This window comes from Homo sapiens, chromosome 11 (genome assembly GCF_000001405.40).
Source record: "Homo sapiens chromosome 11, GRCh38.p14 Primary Assembly".
Lineage (NCBI taxonomy): Eukaryota > Metazoa > Chordata > Mammalia > Primates > Hominidae > Homo > Homo sapiens.
The window spans coordinates 16,840,029-16,860,512 of record NC_000011.10 but is presented as its reverse complement, the minus strand read 5'-3'; the positions used below and the strand labels follow the sequence as shown (position 1 = coordinate 16,860,512).

Genomic DNA, 20,484 nt, shown 5'->3' with positions numbered 1-20,484 from the left:
GCTTGACTTTGTGTACCTGTCCTGAAGAGGTGGTGATCATTGTCTTGGTGACCACTTGTTGCAGCATCATAGACATCTTGCTCTGATTCCTTCATTCTACTTCAGCTCACACCGTTGATTGAGAGCCTCCCATTAACCAGATCTCATTGACCAAACCCACCTAATTTCAGACCCAACAGAAAAAAAATAGCTTCTGTATCTATAACCTCTCTTTCTTACTACATCTGTCAGTTATATGCATTTAGTGCCAAATATGCAGGAAGCAGAAGCACTCCTTTTATATATAGGGACAGAGAAAGTGTCTTCCTGTTCAGGCTCACTTCACACATCCTTGACAAAGTTCAGAGGAAAATCAAGTCACTTTCCAGCTGGGCTTCTCCAGACTGATTTTGTCTAGTCCTAAGTTCTTTTGTTCATTTCAGATGGGAGGAGGTTGGGTTCAAACTCTAGCTCACTGTTTTCATCTTCAGCCCACATCCCTCCAGCAAAATAATCAGCATTCATGTAGCCCAAACCAGGGAGAGAGAAGTCTTTGTTAATCATCCCATTGTACTTTGGGATTTCCGATAACACAGAAACCTGGCAAACAGGCTTTTAAGTCAATAGGTTTTATTTGAGGACAGCAGCAGTCTGCGTGTGCAGGTTTTTGGGTCTCCTCTCCCAGGGGTCTGCGTGACGCAGTGTGCCTGAGGGCATGCTGCTGGGAACTGAATGCCTTTCAAGGTTGCTCAGCTCGGGGGCACAGGCTCTTCTCTGGGAAGAGAAGTTGGTTCTTAGATGAGACTCGGTTCTTAGGTGAGACTCATCAGCAGAGTACACTCATTCTGAGGAGTTGAGGACAAATCATTGTCTGCCCCACCAGGCTCTTAATGGGAAACATGCCTGTGGGATGTAACTGGCTGAAACAAATGTATCAGAATGTCCTCATCCAAGTGAAGGATGTTCCTTTCAGTGTTGTCTCTTCGGGAGGCTGTACACATGCACTGTTGATGTCCCACTGCTCATTACCCATTGTGGTAAATCACCACTAGAAGTTTCCATCAGAGCCAGGTTTTCAGCCAAGTGAGAAAATTGTTTTTGAGACTTTTTTCATATGGATAACAAATGGCATCCCCAAGCACGACCACCATTTTTTTTAACTAGTTGTTATTCCAGATAACTTGTAGTTATTTCCAAAAGTCATAGTCATCCTTAGAAAACCTGAGAGATCATGTTCTACGTTGAGAGCATCAAAGAAACATCCTCTGAAGGCTGATCTTGTTACTTGGACAAGTGGGTAGCTGTGTGTGCCTTGTCCTTTCAAAGAGCCAGGTCAGGGACTGCCAAGTATGAATTGAGTCTATTCCTTGAGTTGGGAGCTGTCCCTGCTCATGGGGGGCCTTGGTGAAGACATCCTCCCTGTTTGTAGACAACACAGTCCCTTCCCTGGGGCATATATAGTTTGAACTTTAGTCACATTTCCTAATAGGCTTTCTATGGGTGTGTTTGAGCGGTGTAGACCATGAGGAGTCAAGCTGTCTTCATGTGTGTTTTTGTATTCTTTCCGCACTCCTTGCCCCTCACTGCCCCTCACTGATGTCCAGCCAGCTAGCATCCCAGAAGCTAGTATGGGGAGGAGACGTGGAGTTAGAATATGTGGGTTTGGGGGGTGTCAAGTTAAATGTCAAGATTGTAAGGTGCTTTATACTGCACTGGTGAGATGATTTAAAAATCTTTTTTTAGGTTGGGCGCGGTGGCTCATGCTTGTAATCCCAGCACTTTGGGAGGCCGAGGCAGGTGGATCACTTGAGGTCAGGAGTTCGAGACCAGCCTGACCAACATTGTGAAACTCCCTCTCTACTAAAAGTACAAAATTAGCCAGGTGTGGTGGCATGTGCCTGTAATCCCAGCTACTCGGTAGGCTGAGGCAGGAGCATGGCTTGAACCTGGGAGGCGGAGGTTGCAGTGAGCCGAGATTGCACCATTGCACTCCAGCCTGGGCAACAAGAGCGAAACTCCGTCTCAAAAAAAAAAAAAAAAATTTGTTAAAGATTGCAAGGTGCAAAAATGGCAAAAGTAGCTATTTGTCCTGGATTTCCTGGCCAGTCACAAATCCAGACGGTCTTTTCTTCGTCCTACAGAGGTGGAATGGCACATCTAAAGTTGATGGAACGTGATGCAGTTATTTGAAATGATGTTGAACTGGCTTAAACTAACGGAGAAAGTGTTTACATTACAATAACGTTTTAAAATGAAGATGTGAAGTCACATATATAATTTTGATCATATGTAAACAAAACACCCTTTTTCTCCCCACCTCCTTCCCCTGCAGAAAACCCAGGCATATAAAAAGAATGGAAGTAACCATACCAAGTGTTACAAATGGTTTTCCTTTCAGTAGCTGGACTATGGGTGATGTTTTTCTCTCAGTTTTTTCTTGTATTTCTCAAATATTCTGTAATAAGCCTAAAATGTCTTAAGTGGGAATAAATTACATTTGATAAAATCCCAAACAGGCCAGGTGCTGTGGCTCACACCTGTAATCCCAGCTCTTTGGGAGGCCGAGGTGGGCGGATCACCTGAGGTTAGGAGTTTGAGACAAGCCTGGCCAACATGGTGAAACCCTGTCTCTGCTAAAAACACAAAAAATAGCTGGGCTTGGTGGCAAGCGCCTGTAATACTAACTACTTGGGAGGCTGAGGCAGGAGAATCACTTGAACCCAGGAGGCGGAAGTTGCAGTGAACTGAGATCGCGCCACTGCGCTCCAGCCCGGGCGACAGAGCGAAACTCCATCTCAAAACAAACAAACAAACAAACAAACAAATTCAAACAAATCTTTTTTGTCGTTGGACCTTGTGTCCTGAATTTTAGCTTAGAGATACAGCTGCCATAACTGAAGCAACCTGAGAGCTCTTTTTCCTTGTCTCAACCTCCAGAAGTCTGAAGAGTTAGACAAGACCAGGTTCCAGGATGTTTTGGACATAGTTCTGTCTGGAGAAAGGGGATGGACAAGGCCGCCTCTTGGAGCCTCTTCCTGCTCCTGATCAGCGGTTATCTTGCTGCACACAGCCTCTGCCAACAGCAAATGTGGTGACATTCTCCCTCCCAGTGGGGAGCAGCAACAAAAGTCTGGCTGGGTTGGAGGCTGGGGGTGTGGAATCTGGAGTGAGTGTCTGAGCTGATAAGGAGCCAGTGCTCTTTCTGCCTGGTAGGACTTGCATCTCCTGCTGCCAAGCATCCGACAGGGCCCAGCCCTTTGGGAAGCTGGTGCCTACTACAGTGGTCCTGCTGCTGGCATTGCTTGGAAAGTGCAGTAGTCACGGCTACTTCTGCAGAGAACTTCCCTTGTGGTGTAGGATATTGGGCTCTGTCTCCGGGCACAGAAAGGATCACTTATCTTTTGAGCAGCAGGGTCTTCGAAGAAAACAGTATATTTCCATGGTGGAAACTAGGATGTTCCCTCATTGTATCACTCTAAAAGTGTCTGTGTGAAGGACTTTATGAGTGTTGCTTCGTCAGCTGCATCCTGCCTGGGTTCTCTAGCTGCATCTCCTCAGGGTCCTTGCCCAGGCCTCCAAAGCAGATTTTCTCCACTCTTCAGGCAAAGAGCCTCAGTTTTCTGTGATCTGCTTGGTCTCCAATGACCTGGATTCTGTTGCCTATTGGAGCATTGGACAGAGCGTGGAGACTTCCACTTTGAGGAAGGCTTGCTGATCCTGGACTTTGCAGGGTCTTGGCATCAGGCATCCAGCTGTCCAGGGATAGGTACTGGATTTGTGTGGAGGGATTTGTCACCGCTGCCTTGAAAGACTGGCAAATGCTGGGGATCTGTGGAAGCAGGTGAGAAGGACTCTTCAGTGGCTCTTGAGTGTCGCACTGAGATGCTCCCAGAGAGTTGGCCCTCCCAGGGCAGCTCCTTGGTGGGAAGTTCCATGTTTCTGGGATGCTGATGGGGAAGCCCAGATATTCTTACTGGGGGCCCAAGGCTTATTTCATTTCTTCCTGCTCACCAGGCAAGCACAAGGGGTTAATATCTCTGATAGCTCTATTTTGGGGCAAATGGAGTGTTCCTAGAATAGGACTCTTTGTTGAGTAGTCTATTTTGGGAGACAAGCCCCACTGGCATTTATGTAAGGGATTCTCTGTGTGTAGCTGGGGGTGTGGTTGTGTGCGCAAGTGATTTCTTGTTACTAATTATAAACAGCTTCTTTTGGGAGCCAGGGAAATGGAGGTGTGTGTGAGGGCATGGATTGCTCTTGCGTGCTGAGAAGAGTGGCACATCTGTGCATGCCCATCAGATGGGGCAGTTGTCACAGACACCTGATTAAGAGAGTGAGTGTGGGGACTTCCAGACAACAGCAGGGATGACAGTCTGTCCTCCTTTGTTGGGGTGTCAGGCTGTGGAGATGTGCCTATCTGTCATCTTGATTCCTTGAAACACATGGGCAGGCTGGACATTGCGGCCTTCTGGCTGCAGTCTGGAGTCAGGCAGCCTCCAAACAATCAGGGTTGGGTTGTTCTAAGGCCCAACAACCGATTCCTACCTGGAACTGATCTTACTGCACTTCCTACTCTATAGCTCGGCTTTTACTCACTGGAATCCCCTGTCTCCTCACAGGCCGAATCCACATATGTCGAAGCAAGACAGAAACCAAAGACCGTCCAGCATGGTCAGTGAAACATCCACGGCTGGGACCGCCTCCACCCTGGAGGCCAAGCCTGGACCCAAGGTGAGCTCCTGGCCACTTGTTCCTTCCTTCCCTTCTTTTATATTTTGCCAAGCCCCTTTGTAACCAGAAGTCCATTTGATCTTCACTATAGTTTTGTGAGAGAGACCCATAAGAAGTGTTCTCCCCAAATGACAGATCAGGAAACTGAGGCCAAGAGGGATATGTCCCTTGTCCAGCAGAACAGGTGATTGCTGACAGACCCAGCACTGGTGTCTATAGGTCCTTGAGCATGTTCTTCACTTTCCTCGCATGGTTGGGAGGGCCACGTTTCTATTTACATGTAGCTGTGTGTTAAAGCAAGCCTGGAGAGATTTGGTGACATGAGGCCCTGAGAAAGGGTGCCCTTGGGAAGGACCCAGAAGTTTCTGTGCTCCAGGTGTAGAAACACTAAGGATCAGGGTAAAGAACCAGCATTGAGGAGAGGAGGAGAGTGCTGAGGGTTGAACCCAGATAGGAGGGGTAAATATCTGGAAATTGGCAAAAAGCTGTGACCAAAAATTAGCTTTGCTCCAGAAAGCCATGGAACATATTACAGCCAACAGCTGCTGCTGAAAGTTGATTGAAAAATTCCTTTTAATTTTTTTTTTCAGTGACCCAGCTGGGAGGTTTGCCAGGTCTTGGGCTTGCCTTTTAATTAGAATGCTGTGGCCATGTGCACGCCCGTTCCCTGTCTTCTGGCTGTTCATTTGATCAAAGGGTGCTGCCATTTAGAGTGAGGCAGAGAGAGCCGACGGTCCTCCTAACATACAAGTGCTTTTTTGTGTCACCTTAAATTCCCTGTTGCTAAAGTTCAGTCTGCTTTTTCATAGATCATAAAGTCCAGCAGTAAAGTCCACAGCTTTGGGAAGAGAGACCAGGCCATTCGGAGGAACCCCAATGTTCCCGTGGTGGTGAGGGGCTGGCTGCACAAGCAGGTGAGGAAGCCGAGGAGTGAGAATCCTGGAGGAAATGGCTCTGGCTGAGTTCTCTCCTTTCCCAGGCACCAGGAAGCTAGGGATGGGCACATAAGCTTTCTGTTCCTGAGTTTGTCTGAGGCAGCTGGATTCTACCTGCTGCACTGCATTATTTGCCGTTTGTTCTTATGAGTGGACTGTCTGCTCAATGGTTACAGCTTCTCTCCCAAAACCCACTTGACCACTTTGGCCCCTGGTGCTATTGGCTGTCCTGGGGCCCAGGCCGCAGTGTGGGTGGGTCAGCTTGAATCCAGCCTTCCTACCAGTTCTCTACCAGCACTTGCCTTCCTGGTGTCAAAGAGTCTTTGTTATTATTTGGCTGAAAATTTTCATCTTTTCCTCTCCCCCTTGTCTAGCATGCATATCCACCTAACGTCTCAAATTCCAAATCAGCCAAACTCAGCTCATTATCTCCTCACCACCTTGGCCTGCCATTTCCCCAAGACTGCTTTTTCCGGATCTTAGTAATGGTACCACCATTCTCCCAGGCACTCAGGTTAGAAACCTCAGCACTATCACCAGATTCTCCTTCCCCGACATGCATTCAGTCAGAAAGCCCTGTCAGCTCTGTCGGCTGAGGCCATTCTTCATTGGAATCCCCACTGCCAGTTGACCTGCCTGGGGTTCTCTGTTCATGGCTGGGTTGTGAGTTCCCAGAGCTAGAGACCCTGTCTCTTTTGCTCTCCTTCTCTCCTTGCCAGTCATTCATTCATTCATCCATTCTGCAAAGTGCCTGCCATGTCCTAAGTTGCTAAGAGCAAGTATCAAGAGAAAGTAACGTGGTTCCTGCCCTCGAGGAACTCATCAGCTACCAGGAGAAGCAGATAGCATATCTCTCACTTGTCACATTGTCACCCAGCCCTGTCTCTCACCTAGCATAGCATCTAAAAATATCAGAGCAGCAATGTAAGTTTTGGTGAAGCTTTGTGGGAAGACAGAGGAGGGCATTACATTGAACAGCACACAGGAGAAATCCCAAAAGTCCCCTTAAAATCTTCTTCTGCAGCTCTGGCCCCATGGCAGCTGCAACAGCTCCCGGCCTCTTCTGTTGGACACTCCTGGTACCACCGTCTCTTGTGCCCACTTGCCCCTCACAGCCCTGTCGTCCCTCTCTTTTCTTACATTTGCCCTTGTCTTTTTCTCACTTGAGTCATTTAACCCTCTGACTTCTTCCGTTTGCATCCCTGTCCCCATTAAACAAAGGATGCCCCTTTGACATATGGAGAGAGAGGGAAGTATTTGTAAATAATTCCCAGCACCTAGGCCAGGCCCATTGGCTGTGCTGTAACCATAACAGGGATCTGTGTGCTGTGGACACACAACAGAGAGTGGCTATACTGGGGGGTGTCCAGAAGGGCTTCCCGGAGGAAGTGATATTTGAACCAGGCATGGAAGCATAGATAAGAGGTCTCCAAACAAAGCAAATATCATGTGCCAAGACCTTATAAATCATCTTGTTGATTTGCAGAAGATGAAACAGATAAATAGTTGAAATCATCAAGTTACATTTGCTTTTAGCATTTTAGTAAGTGGAGGAGGAACAATCCTTATGCTGTATTTCAGTTTAGAAATTGTCAGATGTTTTTCAAGCTTGTCAAAAACTTCTGCAGAAGGAAGACAATTTAACAGCCATCTCTATTTTTTAAATGAAAAAAAAATTTTTTTTTGTACAGCTGGGGCATCACTATGTTGCCCAGGCTGGTCTTGAATTCCTGGTCACAGGCGATCTTCCTGCCTCAGCCTCTCAAAACACTGGCAGTACAGACGTGAACAGCCATCTCTAAAACTAAAAGATGCTCTGGGGCATTCCTAGGTTTGAGAGAAAACTCACCCCAAAACATTCTGTTTTCCTGCCTTTGCCATGTTTTTGAAAAATATTCACAGTAATTTAAAACATTATTGATAAATACAAACATTTACATTTCAGATGAGTAAAGACAGATTTTTCTTATGAGACAATTTGATAGCAAAGAGAATCCAAATTCTTTTATATTGAATGGAAGGAAAACACAACAGCAGAATACATCCTATATGGCACAGAACTGAGCATAGTCTAATGAAAACTTTGCCTCACTTAATTCATTAGGTAACTTAAACTCTTTTCAATAGTTCAGTGTAAATTCAGTTTTCCAGTCAGCATAAATGAAGGTATTTTATAGCATAGCCACCTAAATAAGAAACAAACAAACAAAAACTTTTTGTTAAGAACTGATTCCTTTCTTAATTTACTTTCTAGAAGAAAGTGACTTATAATATTATATATTAATTTGCTTCTAGGAGACAAAAATAAAAACCCTGCTTTCTTAGGATAAACCATCATTTAATCCAAGTTCTAATGTCCTATTCAAAGAATGGCTGTTCAGTAAAATGGTAATTTATTAAAACAAAGAGTGAATATGGGCAAATATTTGGTTCTGGAATCAGGTTGTGCATGCTTGGAAAGGGACAACAGTATGCTCAGATATTACCCTGACTAGTTTTCTTTGCTTTGCAGGACAGTTCTGGGATGAGGCTGTGGAAAAGGAGGTGGTTTGTGCTTGCTGATTACTGCTTATTTTACTATAAAGGTGAGCTAACAAGTAGCCTATTACCCTGCCGAAGTGTTCAGTTTTACATATGTGGATGGTTGGTGACTTCAGGTTTACCAGTCCTAACACAGGAAGTTCAATCTGTTGGGTTAAAATAAATAGAATCCAGTTTGCCTGCTACTAAGGGTCTCAGGATTCAGAGTCATTTCCGTTTCTGTCCCATTTGGGACATAGGTCCACCTTTGAGGTACTCTGGAGAGGTGAGAAGTGTGGATCATTGATTGTGTTTTGTAACCTGTCATCTGGATTTATTGAATGTTGGATGAGCAACTGGTGAATTGAATTGGCCATCTGAGCTTCTGTGGAGCCCCAGAACATAAAGTTAGGGACTATGTGTTGTTAAGAGGGAGTCTCAAAATGTGGAGAAAGAGCTTACTTTTAAGATAAGGCTAGACTGCTACTGGTGCTTTCAAAGCAGTTCAGGGGGCCTGAGAAGTGAATTCCATCATTGGAGAATCTGAGGAGGCTTCTTAGAAGGAGAGAAGAGATAGGCTTTTAAGAATGGGTAGAGCTGGCTGGGCACTGTGGCTCACACCTGTAATCCCAACACTTTGGGAGGCCGAGGCAGGTGGATCACCTGAGGTCAGGCATTCGAGACCAGCCTAGCTAACATGGTGAAACCCTGACTCCACTAAAAATACAAAAATTAGCCAGGCATGGTGGCGCATGCCTGTAATCCCAGCTACTCAGGAGGCTAAGGCAGGAGAATCGCTTGAATCTGGGAGGCAGAGGTTGCAGTGAGCCGAGATCATGCTCTTGACTCCAGCTTGGGCAACAAGAGCGAAACTCCGTCTCAAAAAAAAAATAAATAAATAAAAAGAATGGGTAGAGCTTTGCCTGTGTGTGGGTTGTGGGAGGATGGACATTACAAGGGGAGGAAACAACTTGGCTGAAGTTCTGGAAGCAGTGGGACAGATGAGCCCAGGGAAACTGCCCAGAAGGTTGTTCTGATGCATTTTTCCATTCAAAGACAGCCGAGAAGAAGCGGTCCTCGGGAGCATCCCCTTGCCCAGCTACGTGATCTCTCCTGTGGCCCCTGAGGATCGCATAAGCCGCAAATATTCCTTTAAGGTACTGCCCCTGCACCTCTAATGCAGCCATTCTGTCTAAGAAACTGTGTTCTCAAAATGTCTTCATAAAAGCAGTTGCTTTTGTCGGGAGGGGGAAGAAGCTAGAGAGTTTCAGATTCCGGTTAACAAAGTTGTAAGTTATTTAAACAAGAATAATATCACATGACCGGTACTGTCATTTGACTCTAAGCTTTGGAGTCGCCCAGCCATGTTCAAGTATTCAGACCCCTCCTTCCTGTCACTGCCAGTCTTGTGGTTACCTGTCGAAGCCCTTCTTGAGCTGTCTTATCACCGTACTCAGCCAGCCTAACTAGCATCCAGCCATTTCATGCAACTGGTGACCCCTCATAGTGGGTTTATATCCATTGTATTATGAAAACTCACATTGAAGGTTAGGGGCCTGCGTGTTAAAGAGGCTGTCAGCTTTGTCCACTTTGTTTATCTTGTTGAAAAGCAATTAGAATGAAATTTGGTTTATCTTCTGGATCATAGAAGATTTCCAGGCAGATCCCTTTACCAGTAAAACCCCTTTCCTACTTGGTCTGTGTCTGTACCATTTGGGCTGAGTGAGGCCATGATAATTAATGGTAGTTTTGCCCTGTAGCACCTGTGAGGTCCAGTGTGGAGGCTCTTGGAAGGTGTGTTTAGGCTCAAGCATGGGGAGTCCTGAGGTCTTCTCCATTGGTGGCCTCCATGGATTTCCTTCACTGCAGGTGTTAAGATCTTGGGTTCCCCAGGGAAGGTAAGGATGGGGTGGATTGAAGATCCACTTTACTGGCAGTTGGAGTGGAAGTCCTAGAGAGCACTGAAGCAAGCAGCCCTTGGTGCCACTCACCACAGGGCATGGCCCTCTCTTGGCTGCTTAAGATATGAGGCAATGTCGTACACGTCAAGCTGGAGTAGGGGCTCCTGTCCCCACTACACTTGTTGCTTGGCCGTTTCCATGTTGGAGGCACAAGATGAACACTAGACAGTAGGTCATAAAACAGAGATTGAACAGAAGTCACGCTTTCCAGCCATAGATAGAGGACCACGGGAAAGCTCAAGGTAAGACGCCTGCCATTCTCTGGAAGGGTTAAAGGGAAGTGTTGGTCTGTGGTGTCCATGGTGTGAGCAGCTGGTCCTTCATCTGTGAGGGGCTTGCAAAGTGAGAGTCTCTATCAACACCTTGATCTGGAGCCATAGTGGTGCTGGTGGTTGGAAAGTCAGTCTCATCTTCCTTCTACCTTTCCTTCCTAAGGAGGCACAGAACTGAGCTGATGCTGTGGCTTTACTCATCAACAGGTTTGAGTTGTTCCTGTGTTTCCCTCGAGTGACGCTACTGTCACTCCAGAATTGCTATGGATTGGTGATACTGGGATAGTGCTCTGTGTCATGTTGCGTGGAATACTGTTGCCTTATATCTTTAAAACATGACATGGGAAGTACTTTGATACATGTGACCTCATTTAATGCTCATGGTGAGGGAAGGATATGAGAGCTTAAGAAACTTGCCCAAAGTCACAAAGCTGGAAGATGACAGAGGCAGAACTTGGCCCTGAATTCTGTTCTCTTTCAGTTTTCTTATAGGGCTCCCACTTTGTATTATTTTCTCTTCTTCCTTGCTTTTCTTCCATGTCTTATCTTGGTCACTTGCTGCACAGACATCGCAGGAGGTAGAAGGTGGTTTGAATTGACATTAATTGTATCATTTTAGAAACTTATTCCTGACTCTGAAAACATTTTGTTCAGTGCCTTTCAGATTCATCCTTTACAGCCTGAAAAATCTTCCTTAGGAAACCCTCTTTTCTAGAGTTGAGCACTGCCCAGTTGGGCAAACAATTGGGATAGTGATGTTGCATATGATGTTTTGGGAACAACATTTGGCATGTCTTTAAAGTAACATATCATAACTATATATATAATTTTTATCTTAACACTTCATTGGAGGTGTGAAAGTAGATTCTAGGCAAACATCTTTAATCTGTCTTAGATTTCTTTTCTTTTCTCAACATTTTTCTTGGAAAGACTTTACTAAGAGAGTTCCCTAAATCTTTTGTCTGAGAGACAGAAGGCATCGTGTGTTTGGGAGAGGTCTTTGAGGTCCTCAGGATCCGAGAGCAGAGAAAAGCTACTACAGACAGATCTGGTGGTGTTTAGATGGTTCTCCAGAAAGGGCAATGGTTCCGTGAGTCTGAAAGAGTTATCTTTTCATTTGAGTTGCAGCATCCTTCTTTTAGGGGCCAGAGGGTAGGCTCTGGGGGCAGCTCAGGGTCTATATTCTTGGGCATACCAAGGAATACACAGTGTTTTGTGATTGGCCTTGACACCTGTCTTTGATGTTGGTCCTTCTCTGTATATAGAGCTGAAGTTCTCAGACTGGTGCTAGGGTACCTTGTCGGAGACAGTTCAGAGTATCCACCGTACTTGGCCTACTCTTTAACCTTTAACTGAAATATAACATCTCTTTCAGTTAAGAAAGCAGGTCACAATGTGTATCAGCAGTACCTGTGACTTGGTCACCAGTAGAAACCATAGATATCTTCATAACACATTACAGTTGTTGCAGGTATCTTGAAATATCATTTATGCTCATCACCATTTTAAAATCACAATAATTATTACATCTGCCACCAGATCCATTATGCAGTACGTTAGTAAACAAACACCTGCATCGCTAGACCACACATTTAAAAAATATTTTAAGAACTATATTTCAATATAATAGATTTCCCTTATTTTGCATGCTTAACATTCTGGAAAAGGTTCATAGGATTTATCGAACTGTTGATGTCCATGCCACAAAAAATGTTAAGGTCCCTGCTCTAGATTCTGAAGGCATGCCAAGAGGCATGGTTTTTCACTTATGTAGTTCTGTTTGAAAACTTCTGTTGCACACTCTGATTGTCTATGGGGTAGTATAACAGACGCTAGGGAAACAGCAATGAATAGGACAAAATCCTTGCTTTTTTAGGGCTTATATTCTCAAGTTTGCATCAGCATGTGTATTATTACAGGATGAGAAGACAACAAGAAAGAGCTGCCTTTTTTCTCTCTCCTTTCAATTTTGTTCTTTGTATATCTATCAAATTCATCTCCTCCTCTCCACTTCTGCTGCCACTATTCTGTCTTGGCCACCACCATCCCTTCCCTGGGGAGCACACTGTAGAGCAGGACCTAGTATATAGTAAGTGCTCTGTAAGCATTGGCTGTTGCTGATTCAGCCTTGGAACTCCTCTGCAGCCTACAGTTCATCCTCTATGTTGCTCCTAAGTTGCACCCTTGTTCAGGTTGTATTCCTACCATAAGCCCTTCAGTGGTTCCCCATTGCTTTCAGGATAAAGCCATTTTTTTTTTTTTTTTTTTTTTTGAGACAGAATTTCGCTCTTGTCGCCCGGGCTGGAGTACAATGGCACGATCTTGGCTCACTGCAACCTCCGCCTCCTGGGTTCAGGCAGTTCTTCTGCCTTAGCCTTCCGAGTGGCTGGGATTACAGGCACCTGCCACTGCGCCCAGCTAATTTTTTTTGTTGTTGTTGTATTTTTAGTAGAGATGGGGTTTCACCATGTTGGCCAGGCTGGTCTCAAATTCCTGACCTCAGGTGATCCACCTGTCTTGGCCTCCCAAAGTGCTGAGATTATAGGCGTGAGCCTCTGTGCCCATCTGATTAAGCCAATTGTGATTCACGAGGCCCCAGCTTATATCTCTAGCCACATTTTTAGCCACTCCTGTCTTCTGTCTTTCCTCTAGTCATATACAGTTGCCTAAGGCCCCAGGACATTTCTTGCCTATAGGCCTTTACTTAAACTTCAGCCACAGTTGGCCGGGCGTGGTGGCTCAAGCCAGTAATCCCAGGACTTTGGGAGGCAGAGGGGGGCGGATCACGAGGTCAGGAGATCGAGACCATCCTGGCTAACACGGTGAAACCCCATCTCTACTAAAAATACAATTTGCTGGGTGTGGTGGCTGGCGCCTGTAGTCCCAGCTGCTCGTGAGGCTGAGGCAGGAGAATGGCATGAACCGGGGAGACGGAGCTTGCAGTGAGCTGAGATCGTGCCACTGCACTCCAGCCTGGGCGACAGAGCAAGACTCCGTCTCAAAAAAAAAAAAAAAAAAAAAAAAGAAAAAAAAAAACTTCAGCCACAGCCTGGAATGCCCTTTCCCCAACTCTTACTTGTCCTTCAGTTCTCTGCTCAGAGTCACCTTGTCTGGGAAGCCTTCTCTGAGCCCTCGGGACAGGTTAAGTACCCTTCTTCTCTACTTCCACAGCTCTGTCTCACTGCACTGTAAATGGTTGATTCACCCACCCAGACCTTTCACCGGGAAAACTGATTTATCAGCTAGTTCTGCTAGTCCCATTCTGTAGACAGAGACCACAGGGAGCATTAAGTGTAATTGGAATCGTGGCCAGTGACAGTGCTTATACCTCCCAAGATATGGTGGGTTCAGGCTTACTTGTATTTTGTATTTAGTTCCCTATAAATTTGTGATGGGGAGGGAGGAAGAAGAGTCTTAAAGTTTCCAGAATGCTCTTTCAGCCAACCTCCCTAGGTTGCTCAAGTGACTGCTCCTTCAGTAACATCAACTGACATCTTTTGAGCCTTACAAATGCCAGGCTGTGCTCTAAGCAGTGTATGTCTCATTTCATCCTCACATGGCCTTATAAGGTAAATGCTACTTTTACCCATAGTTCCATTTTAAATATGAGGAAACAAGCATGAGGAGGTTGAGTAATTTACCCAGGGTTACCCAGTGGGCAAGAGGCAGAGTCCACCTTGGACCTCAGGCTGATTCTAAGAGCCCAAGTTCTTACCCTGTTCACTGTGCTGCTTGGAGTCAGCCTAAAGGTTGGACGTGAGAAGTTTCGTTTCTTTTCTCTTCTCTTCTCTTTTCTCCCTTTCCTTTCCTTTTTTCTTTCCTTTTTGCTTTCCATGGAGTCTTGCTCTGTCACCCAGGCTGGAGTGTAGTCGCGTGATCTCCACTCACTGCAACCTCTGCCTCCCAGGTTCAAGAGATTCTCCTGCCTCAGCCTCTTGAGTAGCTGGGGCTACAGGTGCCCATCACCATGCCAGGCTAATTTTTGTGTTTTTAGTAGAGACTGGGTTTCACCATGTTGGCCAGGCTTGTCTCAAACTCCTGAGCTCAGGTGACCCACCCGCCTCGGCCTCCAAAAGTGCTGGGATTACAGGCATGAGCCACTACACCCGGCCTCTTTTCTTAATCTCAATAAATGGTCGCCACTACCTCTGCAAGTTGTAAACTTGAGACTCTTATCCTTTATACCTGGTGTTCTCTCTCCTCCCATATCCAGTCCATTGCCAAGGCCTGCAGGTATTACCTGCAAGTTCTCTCCAGACCCTGTCTGCTCCTCCCCTTCTCTGCCTCCACCACCATCTCTCTCTCACCTGTGCTCCTGTAGTAGCCTCCTGACCCATCCCCCCCTCACCTGTTTCTGCTGACTCGAACCTCTTCTCTGTACTGCAGCCAGAGTGGTCTTTCCAAACAAAATCTGAGCACATCATTCCCCAGTTTAAACCCTTTAATAAGGCTGGGTGCAGTGGCTCATGCCTGTAATTTCAGCACTTTGGGAAGCCAAGGTGGGTGGATCACTTGAGCCCAGGAGTTCGAGACCAGCCTGGGCAACATGATGAAACCCCATCTCTACAAAAAATACAAAAATTAGTTGGGCATGGTGGTGCATTCCTGTAGTCCAGGCTACTCAGGAGGCTGGGGTGGGAGGATTGCTCGAACCAGGGAGGCGAAGGTTGCAGTGAGCGAAGACAGTACCACTGCACTCCAGCCTGGCAACAGAGCAAGACCTTGTCTCAAAACAAAGCAAAGCAAAACAACATAACAAAACAAAACAAAACACTCTTTAATAGTTTCTCATTGCTCTTTCATTAAGACAAAACCCTATATGATCTGCAAGGCCCTGGTGGTCTGGCCCTGCCAACTTCGGCAGCCTCTCTTCATGCTGTTTTCCCCTCCATTCCTCTGTGCCAGTCATGCTGGCCTCATCCTTGAAGATGAACACACTGTGGGCACGTGTCCTTCATGGGGTGCTACCTAGCTCCTCCCTGCTATTACTTAAATGGCTACCTACTACGTAGAAGGCAGCTGCAATGTCAATTCCTCAGGGATCAAGCTGGGCTCCCCTGTTCTCCTCACAGCATCCTGACCTTCTTGATGACACTTAATACAGCTGTAGTTACTTGTCCATAGTATTTCTCTTCTATGTGGCTATAAACTATTATGGCCTTGTTTAAGGCTGTCCCTCCAACTTTGGTAGGGTGCCTTTCACATAGTAAATACTCAATAAATGATTCATTATTGTTGAGCAAGTTCCAGAATGAGCCAGTCAGTTGATGGGCCCTGGCCTTTTGGGTGCTCCTCTATTTTCCACTGAGGTTTCTCTATTCTAAAGGCTGATGTTGGGGGCTTGAACCATGAGGCTTCTGGCTCCTTCACCAGTGCTGTGTCTAGAACTGAGGTCCAACAGCCAGGAGACCAACCATATCCTAGGGGCATCATGTCTTTGAGGTAAGTTCTTCATTCACATCCTGATTTCCTTTAGGCATAGCTTGTTTTCTATTCAGTTATGCAAAGTTGCTTCATAGGATTATGTTAACTGGAAAGCAAAGAGCAGAGAAAACAGTACCATCTGAGTTGAGACTAGGGCAGGAGTGAGAAGATTCACATCATCTAGGTCCTAGGCTCAGGATACTTTGGACTTGGGTCACTTGGCCAGATGAAAAGAAAACTCCCTGTACTTTTTGCCTTCACAGTTAATCCATTGAATATGCTCTCACACAGGCAGAATACAGTTGGAATCTGCTCTTCAGAGTCAAGAGCAGCTGGGCACAGCACCTTCTGGTTTGATTAGTGACCAGGGTTATATTTGCAATCATGTGTAACTCCTTCGTAATGGTGGATGTAACTCTTAAGACTCATTCGCAAATAGACATGCAAACCCATGTCTGCATGTTTGAGGCATGTCCCATGTTGATTTCCTGGACAAGGCTGGCTCCATGAATTTTTTGTACAGCAGGGATCTGTTGTCTTTATTGTACCTTGGAGGGCTCCCTATGCTTGTATCTAGTGGGATAGGCACCTGTCCCAGAACCCTCTATGGCTGGGCACAAAAGGCTGGGAGAGTGTGTCAGAGATCTTGTGTGATCATGGTCCAGGGGATATTTTCCAAGAATTTCTGCTGATTTTCAGTAAGACATGCACAGGTTCCTTCTTATCCTGTTTTTTTGTTTGTTTGTTTGTTTTTGAGGCAGAGTCTCACACTGTCACCCAGGCTGGAGTGCAATGGTTCAATCTCAACTCATTGCAACCTCCACCTCCTGGGTCCAAGCAATTTTCATGCCTCAGCCTCCCGAGTAGCTGAGATTACAGGCATGTGCCACCATGCCCAGCTATTTTTTTTATTTTTAGTAGAGATGGGGTTTCAACATGTTGCCCAGGCTGGTCTTGAACTAACTTCAGGTGATCTACCCGCCTTGGCTTCCCAAAGTGCTGGGATTACAGGTGTGAGCCCCTGTGCCTGGCCTTATTCTGTTCTTATTGGCACATTTCCACCTTGCTTAAAATAGAAGGAATCCTTCCTGTGATAGTGAATGATAGCTGATACATGCAAAGGAAGGATATCAGGTTTGCTTCAGCCACTATAGGGATCCTTGGCTGCAGGCCAAGTTTGCCTAGACTCCCTTGGCACTGAGCCAGATGGACTCAGATATGTAAATGTCAGAAGCAGGCCCATATTTACTATGCATTTTGGATCTGGATTTTAAGAGGGCAGGGAGGAGAAGTAAATGCTGAAGGTTCATTTGAGAGGTTTTCATCTATGACCATTAGTGATTCCAGAAGCATGTCATTGTCTAGTTTTTCATTGGTTCTCATTTTGTTTTCTCTGCCTGGTCCTTGCATGGGGTCTGCCTTTCATGCTGGATTCAGAGTATTGAACCAGTTATCTGTGTAATCACCCTCACTTCTGGATAGAACCTGGGAGCAATATACAGAGAAGCCTGGACTTGGAGTCAGACCTGGGCTCTAACTCTTCGTTCTTTCAACAAATGTTTATTGAGCATCTACTATGTGCTAGGCACTCTTCCTGGGGATATAGTAGTGAACAAAATAGCAAAGTTCCCACTCTCGTGTAGCTTACATTTATAGAGGAAGGAGACAGATGATAAGCAGGTAATAAACAAATGTGTAAAATAAATAGCATCAGGTAATGGTAAGTGCTGTGAAGAATCTGTTACCAGGTGTGGAAATCTCGGAAAGTTACTTAACATCTCAGAGCTTTGTTTGCTACATCTGTAAAACAGAGATTCTGTCTCCACCTCTCAAGGCTGTTAGGATTACAATGAGATTAAAGTTGTGGAAGTACCTAGGAGACACATAGTAGGTACTCAGTAAATCTTCCTCTTTTCACATCATCTTCTTATGTAGATTTGGTGAGATTGTTCCTTGCAAATTTAAAAGATGGGTCTCTGGTTTATCAGAGCACAAGGGGAAAAACTGGTGTTGTCTCTGATTTGCAAATCTTCCCAGTCATTTTTCAGTGGTCATTCTGAGTACCTTTTTTTGAGATTTTTTTTTTTTTTTTTTTTGCAAGGATACATGTGAAAGCACCTTGAGGCAGAAGGACACAGTAGGTTTGCAAGAATATTTAGTTAACTGTTGGTCAACTCTGTCCACCTCTGTAGTGCCTCTTTTGAGAGCTTGTTTGGAGGTTCTAGCAGGGGACTGCAGCTACTAGTATACCCTTGACCGAAGACCGGTCCTCCTCTCTCAGGGATGGTCTTCCTCTTCGACTGGTGTGCAGCTTCAGGAGGGATGCACATGGAGCAGTGAGGGAGGAAGGGGACACCCGCCTAGCCAGCCAGATCAGCCGACTCAACCCTGGCGATCAATGGGGTGACAGATGTCGCAGCCAGATTGCCCTCACATCCTGTAGTGCCTCTTTTGGAGAGACAGAACAGCAGCTTCTTTGAGGAGCACACATCACACTTCATGCCTAAGCAGTGAAGCACAGTGAACATCCACATCAAGCCACCTGCTGTTGCAGCCAGTTTTGAGTCAATTCTTGTCTGATTATAGCCAAAGCAGGAATCACAGGCTTCAGCAAAACCAAAACAGGGATTCCCAAGAGTCTGCCTCTATGAAATGAGGGTTTTCTGAAAAGCCTGTTTCTCACATAAGCCTTGACTTTGTGCACACTCCCAACTCCCAAAGCAGGAGTAAGATAAATAGGAAACAGTTACAGCTGCAGGCTTTTACTTTGGGGAACAGACAGCTGTCACTGGGCCTGGCTGCACTAAGAAAGAGAAATCTAGCCTATGATGTTTTCTAGGTGTGGAAACAAGTTGGGTGGTGCTTGGGCTTTTAGACTAGAAGGGCCATAGTGCCTCCTTGCTTTTGCTCCTATAAAGGAAATGTGTGATAACCTCCCTCTGACCTGCATTCTGCCTTCATGCTACAGGCTGTGCACACGGGGATGCGAGCGCTCATCTATAACAGCTCCACAGCGGGCTCTCAGGCCGAGCAGTCAGGCATGAGGACCTACTACTTCAGTGCCGACACCCAGGAGGACATGAACGCTTGGGTCAGGGCCATGAACCAGGCTGCACAGGTGCTGTCTCGATCGTCACTGAAGAGGTTAGTTCTGATGGAGGGTCCCTGCCACAGCACCTCCTACACTAGGATTGGGACCCAGATAGGTCCTCTTGGGTGCCTGAGATTCCATTTACTCACTTGTATTAAGCATTGCCCTCTCTTTATAAACTTTCTTCATTAAACAAAAACACTAAGGCCTGGAAGGGTGAAATGACTCCCTGGGATCCACAGCCATGGAAACTGGCATGTGTGGGCTTCTCAGTTTTTCTTCTCTTATGTATGGTGGAAGGGAAGACCTTGGGGTACCAGGTAGGGAGAGGACAGGCAAGAAAGGTCTTGCAAACTGAAAATCTGCTACAGACTAACTGCCATGTTGCTGGGAGCTGACCTGGGAGTGATCTTCCGGTTGCTCCCTCTCTGAAATAGTTCAACCAAGCATATAATCAGAGATCTTGAAATTCCTGAGTCTGTTGGCTGTGGGTGATTCCCTGAGAGAAAACAAGAGGAATATGAGTGGAGTCGAGGGCTCAGAGAGAGAGATCAGAGTGGCCCTGAAAAAGTCTGGGTATACCTTTATCTGGCCTTCATCTCACATTGGGCCCATTCTTTCCTATCCTGACACTTTGCTCTTTGACAGTGTTCTTTCAATGAGGCCTCAAAACTCAAGTGTATTCTCTTGTAACCTAAGGGTGGAACTTTTTAGTGACTGGAAATGGGTTGCGCTGGTATGTTTAGCTTGTGAATCTTTCCACTTCACATATATGTGGTTTTCGGAATTCGTGGTACTTCCTAGCTTTATGATCTCTTTCATGCAGTGTACAGACCTCATTAAATATAAATACAGCTATAAATAGTGACCTCCATCAAGAGGCCAGGGTATAGTCAGGCCCTACTCTCTGGAGCTCCCATAGCACTTCAGTCTGAGCATTTTTCACACTGTTTTTGTTTCCCCCTTCTGTCTACTTTTCAGTATCCTAGGCTTAAAGCAGATATCATCTTTATATCTTGGTTTTGTTTTGTTTTGTTTTCAGACAGAGTCTCGCTTTTGTCACCCAGGCTGGAGTGCAATGGCGTGATCTTGGCTCACTGCAACCTCTGCCTCCTGGATTCAAGCGATTCTCCTGCCTTAGCCTCCCGAGTAGCTGGGATTACAGGTGCCCGCCACCACGCCCAGCTAATTTTTTGTATTTAGTAGAGACGGGGTTTCACCATGTTGGCCAGGCTGGTCTTGAACTCCTGACTTCAAGTGATCCACCCACCTTGGTCTCCCAAAGTGCCGGGATTACAGGCATGAGCCACCACGCCCGGCCTGTCTTTATATCTAAATGCACAACATCTGACACATAGTAAGCTCTCAAATGTCTGGTGAGTGAGTGAGTGAGTGAGAGATTCGATGAATGAATGAATGAAGATGTTGAACAGGACAGGACCAAAGACTGCCCTAGGAGCTTCCCCATGGGCCCTGAATCAGTAACTACGTCAATTTTGGCTCTACTTCCAGCATTGTCATCCAGCCTGCATTTTTCTATTGTTTCCATAATAATGATCTGAAAGACTCTG

At 45.8% G+C, this 20,484-nt stretch overlaps 1 protein-coding gene and 1 pseudogene across 38 annotated transcripts in view, besides 1 other annotated feature; one reads left to right on the top strand and one right to left on the bottom strand.

The window, feature by feature from the left end:
- The window catches only part of PLEKHA7 (pleckstrin homology domain containing A7), a 237,118-nt gene that overhangs the window by 153,902 nt on the left and 62,732 nt on the right, over positions 1-20,484 (top strand). For 36 of the 38 annotated variants that reach the window (XR_007062454.1, XM_047426441.1, NM_001329630.2 and 33 more), the window contains 5 exons: positions 4,599-4,710; positions 5,520-5,624; positions 8,158-8,230; positions 9,222-9,322; positions 18,791-18,966. Coding sequence is in view for 37 of the 38 variants with exons in the window: in XM_047426441.1 (XP_047282397.1) it covers positions 4,599-4,710; positions 5,520-5,624; positions 8,158-8,230; positions 9,222-9,322; positions 18,791-18,966 (567 nt within the window). In the remaining variant the exon portion in view is untranslated. Of the gene's footprint in view, positions 1-3,171; positions 3,821-4,598; positions 4,711-5,519; positions 5,625-8,157; positions 8,231-9,221; positions 9,323-18,790; positions 18,967-20,484 lie in introns of those variants that run through there. The other 2 variants (XM_024448365.2, XM_047426445.1) reach the window with 1 other exon arrangement.
- Positions 6,796-7,008: a silencer, noted in NCBI's record as "fragment chr11:16875052-16875264 (GRCh37/hg19 assembly coordinates)". NCBI's record gives its function as "represses an EF-1alpha promoter that drives an FKBP-Casp9 reporter gene in an ReSE screen in HepG2 liver carcinoma cells {active_cell/tissue: HepG2}" and the evidence as "EXISTENCE:reporter gene assay evidence [ECO:0000049][PMID:32094911]".
- Positions 18,023-18,260, bottom strand: RN7SKP90 (RN7SK pseudogene 90; annotated as a pseudogene).